Genomic DNA, 18,840 nt, shown 5'->3' with positions numbered 1-18,840 from the left:
ATGGAGAGGTGGTTGAGAGAGGGGAGAGGGACAAACAGAGGGACAGAAAGAGGACAGACCTAGAGGAGGAGACAGGCTGACATCCCTGGAGGTCTGCATCTTGCTGAGGTCCTCGGCAGTGCCACGGAAGATTGTGCTGGGCAGAGGGCGGGGTGCCCAAGGTGTCCTCTGCCTGACTGCTTGAGGACTTGCAGGGTCCTGTTGTCCCCTAACTGCTGCTGTGGCCACATTTTGCCTTGGCTGTAATTAATATGCAGAGGAGGAGGCCTAGCCTGACTCTCGTGGTCTTCTTTGGCCATCTTGACAGAAGCCATCAATGACCCAGAGATGGATGAAGCCAGATGCTGAAGAAGCTGACCCCTCAGCCCACTCTCTGCACCAATAGTTAGCCCACAGTGTATCCAAAATGACACACTTGTTGAAGACGCCCTCGATAAATTGTCAGCCAATTTTCTAGGTGTTTCACTGCTAAGAAGGGCAGCTCACTTCCAGCCTGGGACTTGAAGGGGCTGTGTTGGAGAGGGAATATTAGCTTGGCTCCCAGGTCTGGTGCTATGGCTTAAATCCCTGATCTGTGTGGCCTTAAGGAAGTGTCTTCACCTCTCTGAGCCTCTGTTTACTCAAATGTTGAAAAAGGACATACTACTATTAATGATCATACTAGTAACAGCTACAATTTGTGTTCCAGGCCTTGTCCTAAGTGTTTTCCCAACATTGACTTAATTCTCATTTCAACTCCATGAGCTGGCTACAGCTGGGAAACCTGCCCAAGGTCACACAGCTTCAAAACGGCACGGCTAAGTTGAGAACCCAGGTAGTCTGGCTTTAGCATTCATGCTCCTGATCACAGAGCCGCGCTGCCTCTTGAGAGGGCTGTGAAGAGGATTAAATTTAAAAAGGCACAGGAAATGCTGTCCCAGTAGCAACGCTGAAAGGTGCATTAGGGAGGGAGAGACTGTATCATGAAATCCTTGAATGCCTGGTGTCACCCAGGATTCTCCTGGTCTCAGGAGGTGTGTAGAGGTAATAGGCAAATTTCGCTTCTCTTCCTAAAGCCCAACCAGGAAGGAAATGTTCACAGTCAGCCTTGGTTGCCCATTCTAAGTTTGGACACTTGCAGAGCTCAGGAGGATCTTCCCTGTGCATAGATGAGGCTGTAAAGTGAAGAGTACAAGCTTCAGAATCAGACCTAGGATGGATCCCAGCCTTGCCCCTTGCTTCCTGGGCGACTTTGCCTGAGTCATGTAACCCCCTTTCTGTGCCACAGTTTACTTTTCTATCTCATCGGATAATATCTCCACCAAAGATAAATGGGAGGATGAAACAAGAGAATCGTGCAAAATCTTGGGTAAACAGTAGATGCTGTTATATGGAGCTTGTCTCTGATGGGATGATGTGAAGCCAACAGATGATGAAGTGGAGCTCCATGAAGCTCCACTTTTCCCTTGAAGCTGGGAAAGTTAGCAGAAAGTTGCATGATGGCAATGACTTTGATTTAGTAGACAGTGTGGAAATCCCAGTCTCGCCTTGTCAAACTCCTCTGAAGTGAAAAGCCTTAATGGGAATACCCCTTAAAGGAAGAGGTAGTGACCCACCCACCTGCGGCAATGAAGAAGAACTTCTCGGAGATGCGTCCTGACTGTCCAAAGGGAAGCAGCCCGGCTTCAGTATCAAGGTGCAGCTGCCGGCTTGCTCTCTGCAAATTTCACAGAAAGAGCCATCTAGTGGCCTGAACAACTGCGGTCCACCGGGTCTCTTGGAACCACCTTGTGTTGGGTGTTTCATGGGTCCTTTGAGGACTAAAGGGAGTTCGGTGTCTGAATCCAGCCAGACTTCAGAAGTCTGGGCACGGCTGGCTGGTCATACACGAAAAGGTGCCACTACTGCTCAGCCCCTTGAATAAGGAACTTCTCCAGTAGCAAACTGTCTACCCGAACTAGATGCCTCATGTTCGCAGGGAGGCGTCTCACTCTGTCAATCATGGCAGGAGGGGCAGGAGGAGGAGGAAACAAAGCTTTTACCTGTCAGCCAGGCAGCCGGCCTCTCTTGCTGGTTGCTCCTCTCACTTCCAAAACTCTCCTGGGTGGGACAACTCTGGCTCATAAACCTGCTGAGATAACCGCTGTGAGCCTCAGTTCCCACATCTGGGAACAGTGGGTAATACAAAAGAACAAAATCAGGTCCTTTGCAGCAACATGGATGCAGCTGGAGGCCATTATCCTAAGCAAATTAATGACGCAGGAACAGAAGACTACATACCACATGTTCTCACTTGGAATTAGGATCTAAACATTGAGTACACGTGAACATAAAGATGAAAACAGTAGGTTGAACCCGGGGGCTCACCCCTGTAATCCCAGCACTTTGGGAGGCCGAGGCAGGTGGATCACAGGAGGTCAGGAGTTCGAGAACAGCCTGGCCTACATGGTGAAACCCCGTCTCTACTAAATATACAAAAATTAGCTGGGTGTGGTGGTGCATCCCTGTAATCCCACCTACTCAGGAGGCTGAGGCAGGAGAATCTCTTGAACCCCGGAGGCAGAGGTTGCAGTGATTGGAGATCGCGCCACTGCACTCCAGCCTGGATGACAGAGACTTTGTCTGGAAAAACAAAAAGCAAAAAGGTGGTGACAGTAGACACCGAGAACTTCTAGAGGGGGACAAGGGTTAGAAAACTAACCATTGGGTACTACGCTCACTACCTGGGTGAAGTGGTCAATCATACTCCATACTTCAGCATCACACAATACACACATGCAACTAACCTGCACAGGGATCCCCAGAATCTAAAATAAAAGTTGAAATTATAAAAATAAAATAGATAAAAATAGATAACAGATGCCCAACATTGTGATAGAATCTGTTTATTGAGTTGTTGGTAGGATGGTTGTCTGTCTCATGCTATTAAAATATAAGCTCGATAGGAGCAGGCATCTGTCTGTCTTATTCACAGACATGTCCCCAGCACCTAAGATGTACTTGGCACTCAGTAAATATCTGTGAATGAATGTATGAAAAGTCGTTGTAGGAGTTCGCATGAAATGATGTGGGTAACCGCTACCTTTTATTAACTGCTAACTATTCTGAACTGTGTCTTTGCACTGGTTAAGTCAGCGTATCTTTTTAGCCCTGCGAGGTTTTGATATTATAGATAGTTTACGTAGGAGGAAAGCAAGGCTCAGAGAGGGTAAACGACTTTCCCTAGGTCACACAGCTGGGAAGTGGTAGAGCTGGATTTCAGATCCTCAAGAGTGACTCCAGGGCATACATTTATAACAACTTCATCGGACGGTGCCCATCGTGTCCTGGTAGCATATCATGATCACCATGATTTCCATGGCCTACTTCTTGCTCTGAACAGTTGGAGAACTGGACATTGGATACACTGCCTCCAAAGGGAGTGACCAGAGTTTCCTTCTGGATGATGACAGTGCACGCGAAAGTTGGTAGTGATGAGGTTTTTGCATATCCACCCTGAAACTTGGTAGAAAATGTCAGGGCCTATTGAAGTATATGGCCAAGAGGGGTACATTCCATCTTGTGAACAGCAGCTCTCAGTCCAGGCTGCAGAAATCATTTTCCAAAAGCTTGAGTGTAGGCACTGCTGTCACTTTGATTCCTGTGGCCTTCCAATCGACATTGGATGTCCTGCAGGCCATGCCAACCTCAGGCATAAACAGGAAGTGCCAGTGGGGCACCCGCAGCTTACAGAGAGCAGACCTTCAAGATGGCAGCCTCCTTCAGGAACTTGGCCAATGAAAACTTGCTCGGAAGCCCCTGTCCCCAGTAGGTTGGGCCAAGGCAAACACATGCTCATAAAGGAGATTTAGGGGGTGACAGCAGCATATTCATTTGTACCTCTGCATAGTAAAAATAATTTATTAGCAGCTTCTGGGGAAGCTCAGTTCTGAAATCACATGGATGGCAATATTAGGAGCCTATTTCTTTCTCTCTCTCCCCACCCCAAATGGTTCCGGCTTTCAGATGATAGAAATTAACTGGGTTTGTGTGTGTGTATGTGCATCTATATTTATTTATTTACAGGCGCCTCTCCTTATTTATGTCTCTGGCTCCGTGAGCATTTCCATTTCTTTAGAGGCCCTGCGGTAATGAGCTTACAAGTGAACCATTCATTACCCACTGTGGCAGGGTGTGTGTGGGGGATAGGGCCCACACAGGCAAAGGATGAGTTTGAAAACTGGGTGTTTTTCAACAGCAGGAGACCCATTTGTCTCCTTAAGTGCCCCGTCCCAGAGGACCTGGATCGGAGAATGTTGGGGAGGAAGGATGATGGTTAGGACAAGAGGGCTTCCTGGGAGTTGAATCAAGAGAGACAGAGAAGGTGTATAGGGAAATAAAACCAGGGGACAAATAGAATATTGTGGTTTGTGGCTTTCAGGAGTCAGGGGCGTGGCACCAACCTAGAAATGAATCTCAAATAACAGAGGTAGAGAATGAATCACAGGCAGCCAGGCAAGAGGACTTTACACCAGGAACCCAGGCTTTTCAGATAACTCTCTTACTTCTGGACTCCTCCCTTCCCCACCCCAGGCCAAAGATCAGCTCACTTAGTGATTGCTTTCTTCCAGGGCCTTTGGTGGAAGTGGTGTTTCCTCCTGGGGGGGACTTTAGAAACCTGTGGGGCACTGAGCCAAGCGTAGTTGTTAACAGCCCACAGGAGTAACAATGTAAGTTTATAACCATGCTGTGTGATTTGAGGCAAGTTACTTAACCTCTCTATGCCTCCATACTTTCACCTGTGAAATGTGGATACTAATTGCACCTACCCAATAGAGTTGTTCTGGGGTTTTTTGTTTGTTGATGTGTTTGTTTATTTTTGAGATGGAGTCTCCCTCTGTTGCTCAGGCTGGAGTGCAGTGGCGCAATATTGGCTCACTACAACCCCCACCTCCCAGGTCCAAGCGTTTTTCCTCCCTCAGCCTCCCGAGTAGCTGGTATTACAGGCGCACACCACCACGCCCAGCTAATTTTTGTATTTTCAGTAGAGACAGGGTTTCACCATGTTGGCCAGGCTACTCTTGAACTCTTGGGCTTAAGTAATTCCCACGCCTCAGCCTCCCAAAGTGCTGGGATTTCAGATGTGAGCCACCGTGCCCGGCCCTGCTCTGAGAGTTTTAAAGATAATCTATATAAAGTGTGTAGCTCAGTCATTAGAGTAAATGTTCACTAAGTGTTAGCTGGGATCGTTGTTATTATAAAAGGAGTTGGGCTGGTCCTCTCACCACACCTTTGCACATGCTTTGCCCTTGCCTGGAAAGCCCTTTTTTCCTTTGTCTGTCTTGCTCCTTTCTTCTCAAGATGAGGCTGGAAAACTGCTTTCTCTGTGAAGTCTCCTCCATTCTCCTTGGACCCCAGACCATGTGAGGCTCCACACCCTTGATGAAATTCAAATCCTGAGCACACCCATCCCTACACTCCCTTTTGGTCCTATATTAAAATAACTTATATTCATACTTACTTTCCTCTCTTTTCTCAGAATTCCACCAACAGCAGGAAGCATACTTTAGTTCCCCTTCCTATATCCTTTTCCCCTGCCCCATCTGTCAGGGAGTGGACACCCAAATAACATATGTGGAATGAATAAACCTGTGATTTTAACCCCAGCAGACCCAGCCCTGCTCAATGTCACAAATCTTTTAAAACATTCCTTTCACCCAACCAGAAATGAAATCCAGCCTTATTCTATCCTACTTAAACACCCACAACTCTAAAAAAGATCAATAGACTGCTAAAATAGTATGAAGAAGAAATATATGACAGCAATTTATAAACAGATAATATGTTTTATTATTTAAATGATGATGCCTGTAATCCCAGCACTTTGGGAGGCTGAGGCAGGTGGATCACTTGAGGTCAGGAGTTCCAGACCAGCCTGGCCAACATGGTGAAACGCTGTCTCTACTAAAAATACAAAAATTAGCCAGGCATGGTGACGTGCACCTGTAATTCCAGCTACTTGGGAGGCTGAGGCAGGAGAATCACTTGAACCCGGGAGGCAGAGGTTGCAGTGAGCCGAGATCATGCTACTGCGCTCCAGCCTGGACGACAGATCGAGACCCTGTCTCCAAAATAAACGAATGACTGACTGACTGACCGAATGAATGATGGGTGCAACAACATTAGCACTTCTCAATTTTTTTTTTTTTTTTTTGAGACAGATTCTCACTGTGACGCCTAGGCTGGAGTGCAGTGGCATGATCTTGGCTCACTGCAACCTCTGCCTCCCGGGTTCAAGCGATCCTTCTGCCTCAGCCTCCCGAGTAGGTGGGATTACAGGCACCCACCACTACAACTGGCTAATTTTGATATTTTCAGTAGAGACAGGGTTTCATCATGTTAGCCAGGCTGGCCTCGAACTCCTGAACTCCAGTGATCTGCCCACCTCGGACTTCCAAAGTGCTGGGATTACAGGCATGAGCCACCATGCCTGGCGTACTTCTCAATTTTTGATGTGCAGACGAATTGCTTGGGGATGCTGTTAATGTGCAGACCCTGATTCCTGTGGTCCAGGCTGGGGCCTGAGATTCTGCACATCTAACACGTTCCCAGGTGATGCAGATGTTGCTGGCCAGTGGTCCACACTTGGTTGCAAGGGGCTGGAGGATACATGAAGAGGTCAGCTACTGCGTATTGAGTCAGTGAGAATTCAGTAGTTACAAATGCAGGCGGGGAATGGATGTGTGTGTTGGTGACTCACAGCCACAGCTTGTGTGGCCTTTGATGATGTAATTTTCTGAAACTGTGGTCAAACTAAGTGATATAAAATCTCTTCTTGAGTGAAACAGTAGTTACTTTCCTAGAAAATTCAGCTATGTTAAAACCATTCATAATAATGTTGTATCATATGTAAATCTAAGTTAGGCTCCTGGCCTGGATAATTATAAATGAGTTGTTTACGCACAGGACATCTGGGGACGTTCAGAAGATGTGCAGGATGCAGGACAGCTCTTCATTGTCCAGCCACGAGTGTTCCCCTGTCCTGCTGGGTTTCTGATGTTCTCCCACCCACTCATTGCCAACAGCATCCCCCAATCATTGTGATAACTGGAAATGCCACCACACGCTTCCAGAACACCTCATTAGGGACAATGCCACCTCCATCAAACACTCTGGAATACAAGGATCTTTTGGGGTTCTGAGATCTCCGAGGCAAAGCTCAGGAGGTAGAAGGCCTCCCGGAAGAGCCTGTGTCATTGGTGGGAAGCAGTGTCACCGCGTGCAGACATGCCAGAGGGCTAAGGGGACACTGGCCGGGCCGGACAGAGCAGATGCCCCTTCTGGAGACCATGGGACCGCTACTTAGCCTCAAGACAACTGTCATGCGTAGAAATCTAAGCTCAGTGTTGTCAGGTCCCTGATGTTTCCAGAAGGGGCAGAAATCCAAAGTTTTAGATGAAATCTCTAGATTTTGAAATGTGGGCCGAGATTAAGTTAAACAAATGAAAACAGTCTACAGAGTGAACCAGACACCTGTGTGCCTGAAGGAGCCATTGGTCCCGGTTGTGGCTTCTGGCTTAAATTAAGAGACATGGCCGGGCGCAGTGGCTCAAAGCCTGTAATCTTAGCACTTTGGGAGGCCAAGGGAGGCAGATCACTTGAGGTCAGGAGTTCGAGACCAGCCTGGCCAACATGGTGAAACCGCGTCTCTACTAAAAGTACAAAAAATTAGCCGGGCATGGTGATGCGCATCTGTAATCCCAGCTACTTGGGAGGCTGAGGTGGGAGGATTTTGTTGAACCTTGGAGGCCGAGGTTGCAGTGAGCCAAGATCGTGCCACTGCACTCCAGCCTGGGTGACAAAGCGAGACTCTGTCTCAAAAAAAAAAAAAAAAAAAAAAAAAACCAACAACAAAAAATAAATTAAAAGACATGCCATCAACTCAAAGACTATCCACTGCCCAAATGAATGTGTCCCTCCTCTTCTGTGTCATCCTTCCCTAGCGGGAACCCTAACTTCTCCCGCTTTCCTCATGCAGCTGCCATTTCTCCCTGGTCACCCCAGCCAGCCTCCTCCCTCTGTCCCCTCTGGAATACCCTTCCTTGGTTAACTCTGGCCCTTTCTCCAGCCAGCTCTCTTCATACCAGCCTCTCTCCTATTCTGACTGCTCTGGCTGGATGCCAGGGTCTGTTTCTGTTGGAAAATGAGGGAAAGAAAGGCTGTTTCTGAATGGGAACAGGATTTGAGCAGCTGAGATCGGCCAGTATGGGCCCTTGAGCCCTGGTTCCCAGCAGGGGTCGGGGGTGGGAAGGTGATTTTGCCCCACTCCTACTCCAGGAGACATTTGACAATGGTCTGGAGACATTTTTGGTTGTAACAAGGGCACATGACTGGGGTCTAGTGGGTAAAGCTCACAGATGCTGCTAGATACCCTGCAATGTACAAGATAGCCCCTAAAACAAAGAGTTATCCAGCCCCAAATGTCAACAGCGCTGTCCTTGAGAAACCCTGCCTGAGAGGTACGCAGAAGGCTTTATTATTAAAGCAAGACTGGGTTGTTCACATTCTCTCTGTGCCTATCTGTGTGTGTGTCTCCCTCTCTGTCTCTCTCTCTGTGTCTCTTGCTCTGTGTCTCTCTCTGTATCTTTCTCTCTGTATCTTTCTCTCTGTGTCTCTCTCTTTGTCTCTCTGTGTCTCTCTCTCTCTGTGTCTTTCTCTGTGTGTCTCTCTCTCTGTGTCTCTACCACACCCCCTTTCTCTCTGGATCTTTGGGTATTGTGGCCATAACTGTGGAATAACGCAATGGAATGCTGCAATTAATTAGAGGCAAACTGTGTTCAAATAGTAACGAAGAAGAGGCCAGCCTTCGGGACACTTAAAAACAAACAAACAAACAAACAAACAAAAAACAGTTAGGAGGCCTCTCTCCATAGAAAAGCTCTTCTGTGTGTGAGGCATTTTGTTCCAAAACAGACATGGTTGTTGTCATTTCTGGAAGGCTCTGCTCTCTCTCCCTCTGTCCTTGGGTCTGACTTTGCAACCTCATGTTGTCTCTGGAGTCTGACTCCTGTGCGTCACTTCTGACCCTGCCTCTTACCCACCGAGTGACCTTGGGCAAGCCTGGCTCAGCCTCACTGGCCCCATTTGAAGGGGCATTCATTTTTTCTGCGGAGAGCCAGATGTTGGCTTTTCTGGGCATGTAGTCTCTGTCATAGCTACACAACTCTGCCGTCCTAGCACAAAAGCACCACCTTCAGTGTGTGCACGAATGGGCATGGCTGTGTCCTGGAAGAACTTTATTGACAAAAGCAGGTGGTAGGGTGTTTTGCTGACCCCTGACCTACTTTTTGAGATAATTTTGAGGAATGAATAGCGATGCCAAGCCACGGGCTTAGCTCCGTGCCTGGTAGGTAATCAGCACATAGTAAACAATAGCTGATGTTTGTTTCTTCTTCTCGTTCCATTTTCTCTTGCATTTCCTTCCTTTTCGTCTTTTTCTCCTCTGCCATTATTTCGCCCTCTGCTGTGTATCTCTGTACCACACAGCTGTCTCTTATGCTGATAGGGAAAGAGCCAGGAGATGCCAGTTCAGATCTTTCCCTGCCACCTGCCTGCAGTCCCTTGGGTGCTCTGAGCGCTGTGACTGTCACTGTCATGTCCCCCTGGTGGGGTTGGGAAGAGGGGAGTGGGTTAAGTCAGGGGCTGGGCTCTGAGCACGCTTTGCTGGGCTCTTTGGTTTTTACCCCAAGGACTTAGCCTTGTAGGCTTGAGGTCCAGGCTAGGTGGCCTTGGGCTGCGTCAAACATAAACAAAGCCAGACCCTATGAAAGGGGTAAGGGCACATTTAATCAGTAATGCCTGTTGCAATAGGAAAAGCATCCAGCATGGAACTGAACTCAACTTGGATTTGTTCAGAGGTGACTGGGTGTTTTAAAGAGAGAAGGAAGCAGAGTGCGGTGGCCCACGCCTGTAATCCCAGCACTTTGGGAGGCCAAGGCAGGTGGATCACGAGGTCAGGAGTTCGAGACCAGCCTGACCAACATGGTGAAATCCCATCTCTACTAAAAATACAAAAAAAATTAGCTGGGCATTGTGGCACACGCCTGTAATTCCAGCTACTCAGGAGGCTGAGGCAGGAGAATTGCTTGAACCCGGGAGGCGGAGGTTGCACTGAGCAGAGATCATGCCATTGCACTCCAGCCTAGGCAACAGAGGGAGACTCCATCTCAAAATAATGATAATAATAATAATAATAATAATAATAAAGGGAGAAGGAGAGAGGTGGGAGGGAGGGAAGGGAGATGAGCTCAGTGGACTCAGGGAAGTGAAGAATTACCAAAAGCAGGAAGGGAGGGTTGGTCTATGTGTGACTCAAATGGGTTTGCTAACTGCTGTTTATGAAGTGTGGCTCCTGCTCTCTTACAGAGGCTGGGAGATGATGCCCTGTCTAGAGGTGTTAGCTGGAACAAACAGTAAATTATTTTGGCAGCCTTGAGTTTTCTAAAGCAGTCACTTTAAGCAGGAGCTGGGGTCATCCCAGGGATGTTGCCTTGAGCTGTGAGAAACTATGTTAGTGTTTCAGGCCAGGCGTGGTAGCTCACGCTTGTAATCTCAGCACTTTAGGAAGCCAAGGATTGCCTGAGCCTAGGAGTTTGAGACCAGCCTAGGCAACATAGCAAGGTCCTGTCTCTACAAAAAATTTAAAAAGCTGGGTATAGTGGTGAAAGCCTGTGTAGTCCCAGCTACTCAGGAGGCTGAGGCAGGAGGATCGCTTGAGGTCAGGAGGTTGAGGCTGCAGTGAGTCGTGATCATACCACTGTACTCCAGCCTGGGGAACAAAATGAGACCCTGTCTCAAAAAATAAATAAATAAAAAAGAAAGAAAGAAAGAAAAAGAAAAACAACGTTAGCATTTCATTCAAGTCTTTATAGGTAAAGCTGAGAGGCCCAGTAGAAAAAGGGGGCAGAGGAGGCTGACTAGAGTTTGATCAAGGACTAACTCTTGACAGCAGGTCATTCTTCCTCCCTGAGGATGATTCAGGACTTGAGGGGCCTGGGTTCCTCTCTCTATAGGAAAGTATTTATCGGCTGGGCGCAGTGGCTCACGCCTGTAATTCCAGCACTTTGGGAGGCCAAGGCAGGCAGATCACCTGAAGTCAGGAGTTTGAGACCAGCCTGGCCAACATGGTGAAACCCTGTCTATACTAAAAATACAAAAATTAGTCGGGCATGGTGGCGGGCACCTGTAATCCGTGCTACTTGGGAAGCTGAGACAAGAGAATCGCTTGAACCCGGGAAGCGGAGGTTGCGGTGAGCCGAGATTGCACCACTGTACTCCAGCCTGGGCAACAAAGAGCGAAACTCCGTCTCAGAAAAAAAAAAAAAAAAAAAGTATTTATCACTCAACTTCGATTTCTATCTGTTCTGTGTGTGTGTATTGTGTATGGAAGTAAAATACAAATCAAAAGGCTTGGCATGTAGCAAAACAGCCTACATAAAAGAATCCTAAACTTTTAATTTTAATAATCAGTAAATATTTCTGATTGTACTTATGTATTATGTCAGTAGTTCTCAAACTTGGTCTCAGGATTGCTGTATAGTCTCAAACATTATTGAGGAACACCAAAGAGCTTTGGCTTAGGTAGGTGCTATCAATTACTTCCTATATAGTAATATTTAAACTAAGGCATTCTTAAAATGTTTATTAATTCACTTAAAAACAGTCATAATAACCTATTACTTGTGTATATAAAATATATTTATGAAAAGTATGCATATTTTTCCCCAACGAAAACAAATTTAGGAAGAAGGGAGGCACTGTTTTACATTTTTTGCAAATCTCTGTAACACCTGGCTTAATAGAAGATAGCTAGATTCTCACATTTGCTTCTGATTTCTGATGCAGTATGACGTGCAGTGGAGTTTCTGGAAAACTCCACTGTACACTCATGAGAGAGTAAGCGAGAAAGGAAAATAATGTCTTTATATTATCGTGAAAATAGTTTGTCATTAAAGATCCCCTGAGAAGGCCTCAGGGACCCCCAACAGTTCCCAGACCACACTTTAAGAACCACTTTAAGTCACCATTGCAATCATTAATTCTATTTTAATAAATTATACCTAATATTTATTAAGTTCTAGGTATTAAGTGTTTTAAATTCATTGACTCTTAATTCTCATAACAGCCTCATTAGATTGGGTACTCATTATTGTCCCCATTTTACAGAGAAGGAAACTGAGGCAGACAAAGTTAGGCACTGTGCCCTGGGCCACACAGTGAGCAAAGGCCAGGGTCCAGATTTCAACCCACTGTGCCTCAACACTCTGCCTTTCCAAAAAGTCTCAGTCTTGGCCGGGCGTGGTGGCTCACGCCTGTAATCCCAGCACTTTGGGAGGCTGAGGCGGGCGGATCATGAGGTCAGGAGATTGAGACCATCCTGGCTAACATGGTGAAACCCCGTCTCTACTAAAAAATACAAAAAATATTAGCCGGGCTTGGTGGCGGGCGCCTGTAGTCCCAGCTACTCGGGAGGCTGAGGCAGGAGAATGGCGTGAACCCGGGAGGCGGAGCTTGCGATGAGCGTGATCGCACCACTGCACTCCAGCCTGGGCGACAGAGCGAGACTCCGTCTCAAACAAACAAACAAAAGACTCAGACTTGCTCATCAAGTGACAAGGCGCTAGCTTAAAATATCATCCTGCTGCCACTTGAGTGCTTAACATGTATCAAGCCTCTCACCCAATGTTGTTTTGTTAAATAGAATTATATGTGCATGACATATTAGTTAATCCCCACCTTACATTTGCAAAGTAGGTCTTCTTACCCCCTTCTTTTGTAGATGAGAAAAATGAGGCTCTGAGAGGTTAAACCTCTTGCCCTCCGTCTCAGAGTTAAGGAGCAGAGACTGGATTCCAACCCAGCCCTATCAGTCTCACTCCTTCCTGCCTCACCCTGTGCTGTTTTGCATCCCATTAACATGATGCTACATTGCAAAGGGCTTTTTACTTAGGGTTCTGTTAAAGCAGGGCCTGCCTGCGTCCAGCGTGGTCCACGGGTTTCTAAGTGCTGGCCAGCCACCTTTTGTGCATGCAGATGAGCTGGACGAGGGGCCTCTGTTAGGTCTATTTGCATTGGCAGCCTGGGTAATTGCATGTTCTAATTGGTACAGCCACACACACTGTGCTTCCACCGTTCGCCTACCCTGGCACGGAGGTCCTTTTGGAAGCAGGTGCAGGCCTCTCCCTGTTTGTCCCTCCCAGTGGCCTTGGTAGCCTTGGTGATTGGAACGAAGCCTCGGACACTGAGTTCAACACCAAATAACTACCCAGCCGGCTGTGCGTGCACATGGCACAAAAGGAAGCCGTAAACTGATCACGATGAGCGGGTGGGCCAGGCGCCCTCATGTGTGAGCAGTGCACCTGGCTGGGGTTTCCCTTTGGCCCTGTCCCTATTCCTAATAGCTGCGGAGAGGCAGTGGGGTATTGAAAGGCATGACCTCCAGACCTAGACAGCCTGGGTTCAAATCCTGGCTCCTCTGTTTCCTAGGTGTGTGGACTTAGTCATTTAACCTCCCTGAACCTTAATGTTCCAATCTGAAAAATGGGTAGAAAATATAGCGTCTTCTTTATCAGCTCATCATGGAGATTAAATGAGTTAGTACATGCAACAGGCTTGGAACGGAACCTAAGACATACGTGTTTCTTAAGCACTTTGGACGTGTCAGGCACTATCTTCTATGCTTGATCGATTCAGTCCCTGGGAAGTAGGTGCCATCTTCGGCTCTCTGGGATGGATGAGGAAACTGAGGCAAAGAGAGGCGAAATGTTCTGTCCCAGCTTGAAGAACCCCAGCAAATGGAGAAGGGAGGAATCAAACTCACTTCTTCCTGAGTCCAGACCTCTGAATCTCAGTGTGCTGCTATAGACGATAATAGAGGGATAGGGCTGCAGACGGGATGCGCTTTGAAGCTTCCATTTTGTCCTCAGTTCCTGGTCTCTTAAGGTCCATCGAATTGTTTTAATGAGCTGAAGTGGCAGAATTTTGTTCATTGAATATATTGATTAATAACTAACTCAGAATGGTTAGTAACACACATTCGGGACACATCATTTTACAGATAAGAAAATTGGACATCAGCTAATGCAATACTAGTACCCAGGTCTTCTCCTACATAAACAATAAGAGCAAAGGTGGATAGTTTAAAAATCACGGCAACCCACCCCCACCCCTCAGAAATGGGAGCAAGGGGCCAGGATTCAGTAGACTAAGTATTGATTCATCCTGAACCAAGAGAACCTGGGAAAAATGGAAACAGACCCACGTGTCTTTGCAGCAGCAGCGTGGGTCAGGTAACCTGCTTCTCGGAGCCATATTATGTTTAGCATATTTCTACCTGATTGAAATTGACTCTAAACATGCCCAAGGTTGAATGGGAATGGAGGACATTATTGCATTTAATTATTTCTCCAGAATAAAAATGGATTCTAGCAGCAGCTTAGAGGTAAGGCAACAGCAGAGCAATTAGAGTTTTGGAGCTTGCACACAAACATTTGAATGTGCAATCATTGTAATAAGTACATTAAAATAAAGTAAGTCAAAGGGTTGCATTAGCATAAATAACTCAAGGTGAGAGAGTTGGATTGATGAAGAGTAGAGAAGATGATGCCAGTTGATCACAATTGCGAAATAATAACCCATCTGTCCTCTAGGCAGAGACTGTCAGGGGAGAGAGAGTGTTAATTGGTAGAGTTCCCCAGTCTGGTTTACTGCTCATTCTTCTTCCAGCTTTGTGTGGTGGGCATATTCTAGTAGTTTTACATACACTCTTCCTCACTGAATTACCCAAGAGGTGAGGTGTTGTTTGTTTGTTTTGAGACAGAGTCTCACTCTGTCACCCAGGCTGCAGTGCAGGGCACGATCTTGGCTCACTGCAACCTCCATCTCCTGGGTTCAAGCGATTCTCCTGCCTCAGCCTCCTGAGTAGCTGGGACTACAGGTGCGTGCCACCACGCCCAGCTAATTTTTTGTATTTTTAGTAGAGACGGGGTTTCACAGTGTTAGCCAGGATGGTCTCGATCTCCGGACTTCATGATCCGACCGCCTCAGCCTCCCAAAGTGCTGGGATTACAGGTGTGAGCCACTGTGCCCGGCCTGAGATGGATATTATTATCATCCCCATGGATACCAAGGTGTTATCATCCCAATGTTTTAAATGAGGAAACTGAGACACAGAGAGTTTGAATCACTTCATTACTAGCAGTGTAGCCTCGGTCAAGTTATTTAACCTCTCTCTATGTTAGTTTCCTCCTCTTAAGGAGTACTAATACTGTCTGTTTTGGTGAGTTTTCAAGAAGATTCAAAGGACACAGAGCATGGGCCACTTGGGTGCTGGGCATATGATGGTTATTTTTTATGGGTCTGCCTGGAGACCTCCCAAGATTGGTTTTGTGAAGGGAAGGGATCCTGGGTTTGGCTTTCTGGATCTTGAGTCTCCACAGAAAGGACAGAAAAGCCAAAATCTGTTTGCCCCTTGGCAGTCAGATGAAGAGTTAGGGGGAACATGAAGTGATATGTCATGTCCATCCTTGGATGGCTGGATAAAGAAAATGTGGCATATACACACAATGGATGTTAGCTTCAAAAAGAAGAAAATCCTGCAACATACAGCAACATGGATGAACTCTGAGGACATTATGCTAACTGAAAGAAACCAGTCACAGAAGGACAGATAGTACACGTGTTTATTCTGCTTCTATCAGCTATCGAAAATAGTCCGAATCCTAGAACCAGAGAGTGAAGTAGTAGTTGCCAGGAGTTGGGGGATTGGGGAGGAGCATGGGGAGTTGCTGATGGACAGGCATAACATCTCAATCATGCATGCACAATGAAGAAGCCATAGAGACCTGCTGTGCAGTACTATAGCCAACAATATAGTAGTACATGCAACAATATACAACAATTTGCTGTATGTTGCATATAGTACTATAGTGTTGACTATAGCTGCATAGTCAACAATAATACACACTTAAAAATTGGTTCAGAGGGTAGATCTCATGTTAAGTGTTATTATCATAGTAGTCCCAGCACTTTTGGAGGTTGATGTGGGTGGATCACCTGAGGTCAGGAGTTCGAGACCAGCCTGGCCAACATGGTGAAAACCCGTCTCTACTAAAAATACAAAAATTAGCCGGGCGTGGTAGCACACACCTGTAATCCCAGCTACTCAGGAGGCTGAGGCAGGAGAATCACTTGAACCTGGGAGGCGGAGGTTACAGTGAGCCAAGATGGCGCCGTTGCACTCCAGCCTAGGTGACAAGAGTGAAACTCCATCTCAAAAAAGAAAAGAAAAGAAAAAAATGAATTGAAGGGGGGAAGCCAGAGAGAACGCCGCAGTCACTATAGAAAATGACAGTGACTCTGAGGGACAGAAATTCTCAGGCCTCCAATTCTCGCTGACTGCGCCTCTCTCTGACTTTTCTGGAAGCGATCTAGTATCTGTGAGCCCTTTTGTTCCAGAAGACAAAATATTTTCCTTCCCTCTTATACTCAAATCTTTTGGGTTCCCATGGCAGCTGAGTAGCATCTGGGGCCAGGCAGAAGTTCACAGGGCCACCACAAGCTAATCATCGCCATTGTGGTGGCCTGTCTTGAGTAGAGAGCGGGTATTAATCATGAGTCCCATCAGAATCAATGGTGGTGCCTCTTCCTGATATTACACATTAGCCAGAGGAATTGGCCATTCTCTGATTGTCAGATTAGCTTCATTGGCCGTGGGGGGTGGAGGGAGATGATCGCAGTGTTTTCTGTCTGGTTTTGCTTGGCAAAGTTCAGCCAGAAAGTGATGGAGAACAGGAGCTTTTGAAATGGGGGTTTGTGGAGGTTTTCTGTTGTGTGGCGGGGAAACTTGCTGATAACAAGGAAAGAGAAGGGCCCCAGAATGACACTTAGGATATGTCTGAAGAGAGAAAACGAAGATGTCCATCAGGGCAGTAGCTCTTCTGGCTTACTCCCTGCCCTTTAGACATTTCTAGAAACTTCTAGAAAATGGGCTTAGGGACAGAATTTAAATTTATGTTCTTGGAGCATGGGAGTCGTCAATAGATGTTTCTGTCTGTTGGAGGGAGAAAAAAATTGGCTCCTGTACCTGACTCAGCTCAAAGGAAGAAAGGAGATCAGGTTAGCTCCTGGATTAATCGGGATGAGTTAGACCATGCTACAGTAACACAGATCCCCCAAATCTCAGTGACTCAAAGCAGCAGGGGTCAATTTCTGCACACTGAGGGTTGGTAGAGTCTCTACTCCACATGGGCCTCACTCAGGGATGCATGACCTCCACCAGCAGGAGTGTGGCTGGATATTGTGGTATCCAGGGAATGACACCTTATGGGTTCCAGTCACTGCTCTTGGCCATAGCATGTTTCCTGTCTGTGCCTAATATACAAGGGATAGGGACATACAATCCTAACACATCCCTAGAAGGAATGGAACAGAAATGATTTTTCATAGCTTTATTGAATGCCACCCCTGCCCCATCAGCTCCATCCCGACAGACGCTAATATGAGCAAAGATGGTGATACCCATTATTCCACTGCAGGGGAACTGAATGCTTCTTGATTTACTTCTCAGCAAAACACAAGAGGCGTGATACAATAGCAGATTTTAGAATCAGGCAGATGCAAGTTCGCTGCCTCCCCAACATGAATTTGTGCAAATTACTCGACATCCCCAACCTTATTTTCCACCCTTTTCTGTAAGGTGGGCGAACAGTAGTGCCTACGTTGGAAATTATTTCCAGGAGTTAAGTGAGGTACTGCATCCAAGGGCTTAGCATGGCACCTAGCACGTGATCCATAGTGAAGAATGTATCACAACAAGCGTTGGCTCCTCGTTCTATAAAATGGCAAGATAAATACATCCAATTGTCAGTACCCTATAAGTAATACCTGTGAATAACTTACTGTGGTGCCTGGCTCATGGTAAGAGCTCAGAAAATGCGCCTGAGAGGCTGCTTGGGACTCTTCAAGGGCCTCTGGATAGAAAAAAAGGGAAAAGAGGAACATCAGCAGGTTTTGTTTAGGTTACAAGAATAAAGATGTACTCTAGGTACCAACTGAAGGGGATTTTTTTTGTAGGTATCTGTGGAGAATAAGAAAGACCAGAAGCAGAAGGCCCTCATTTATAGGTCAGGATATAAAAGCAGTTCCTGTGTACAACCAGTAGCCGCCCTGTGACCCAATATGGACTGGTCAGCTGTTTTTTTCTTGGTTCTTTTTCCTTCTTCCTACCTTGTTACCTCCCAGCTCCTGCAGCCTCAGACTCCACGTGCTTCGTGGCTGCTGCTTACTGTCTCTATATGACTTCCTGCAACACAATAGGCCACTAGCCAGCCTGAAGATTGCAATTTGGAGGTCACACACCTCTAGCAGATTCATTTAGCTGGGTGGGAGGGGCCAGATCTTGTGGTTCAGTGTCAGCTTGCAGTACTTAAGGGTTTTGGGTGATGGGTGTAATAAGGATCATACAATTTCTTGGAAGTGGATCATGTCCCTGGTAGCCCAGAGTGTGGGGTCTGTGATCTGCCTGGTTTGAATTCCAGCTTCACCGCCAACTAGCTGGGTGACCCTGGGCAAGTCACTTGTTCATGGGTGCTTAGTTTCCCATCTGCAAAATGAAAGTCATAGCAGTACTCAGCTTACAGAATGGCCACAAGGTGTCTTAGTGTCAGAGCCTCCAACAAATAGGAGAAATTCGTGCTTACTGCTAGGAGCAATGGAGCAGAGGCTAGAGGAGCATCTTTTTTTTTTTTTTTTTTTTTTGAGAGCCAGTTTCACTCTCCCCCCAGGCTGGAATACATTGGTGCAATCTCAGCTCACTGCAACCTC

At 46.7% G+C, this 18,840-nt stretch overlaps 1 protein-coding gene across 3 annotated transcripts in view, besides 1 other annotated feature; it reads left to right on the top strand.

Moving 5' to 3' along the window:
- The window catches only part of XYLT1 (xylosyltransferase 1), a 369,192-nt gene that overhangs the window by 190,945 nt on the left and 159,407 nt on the right, over nt 1-18,840 (top strand). The gene's annotated exons all lie outside the window — the stretch shown is intronic.
- Nucleotides 12,827-13,698: an enhancer, noted in NCBI's record as "H3K4me1 hESC enhancer chr16:17360175-17361046 (GRCh37/hg19 assembly coordinates)". NCBI's record gives its function as "activates a minimal SCP1, AML or CMV promoter by ChIP-STARR-seq in naive and primed H9 embryonic stem cells {active_cell/tissue: H9 hESC(naive and primed)}" and the evidence as "EXISTENCE:reporter gene assay evidence [ECO:0000049][PMID:30033119]".

The sequence above is a fragment of the Homo sapiens genome, chromosome 16, assembly GCF_000001405.40.
Source record: "Homo sapiens chromosome 16, GRCh38.p14 Primary Assembly".
NCBI classification, from domain to species: domain Eukaryota; kingdom Metazoa; phylum Chordata; class Mammalia; order Primates; family Hominidae; genus Homo; species Homo sapiens.
The sequence above is the reverse complement of the archived record's forward strand: the minus strand, read 5'-3'. Positions and strand labels throughout refer to the sequence as shown.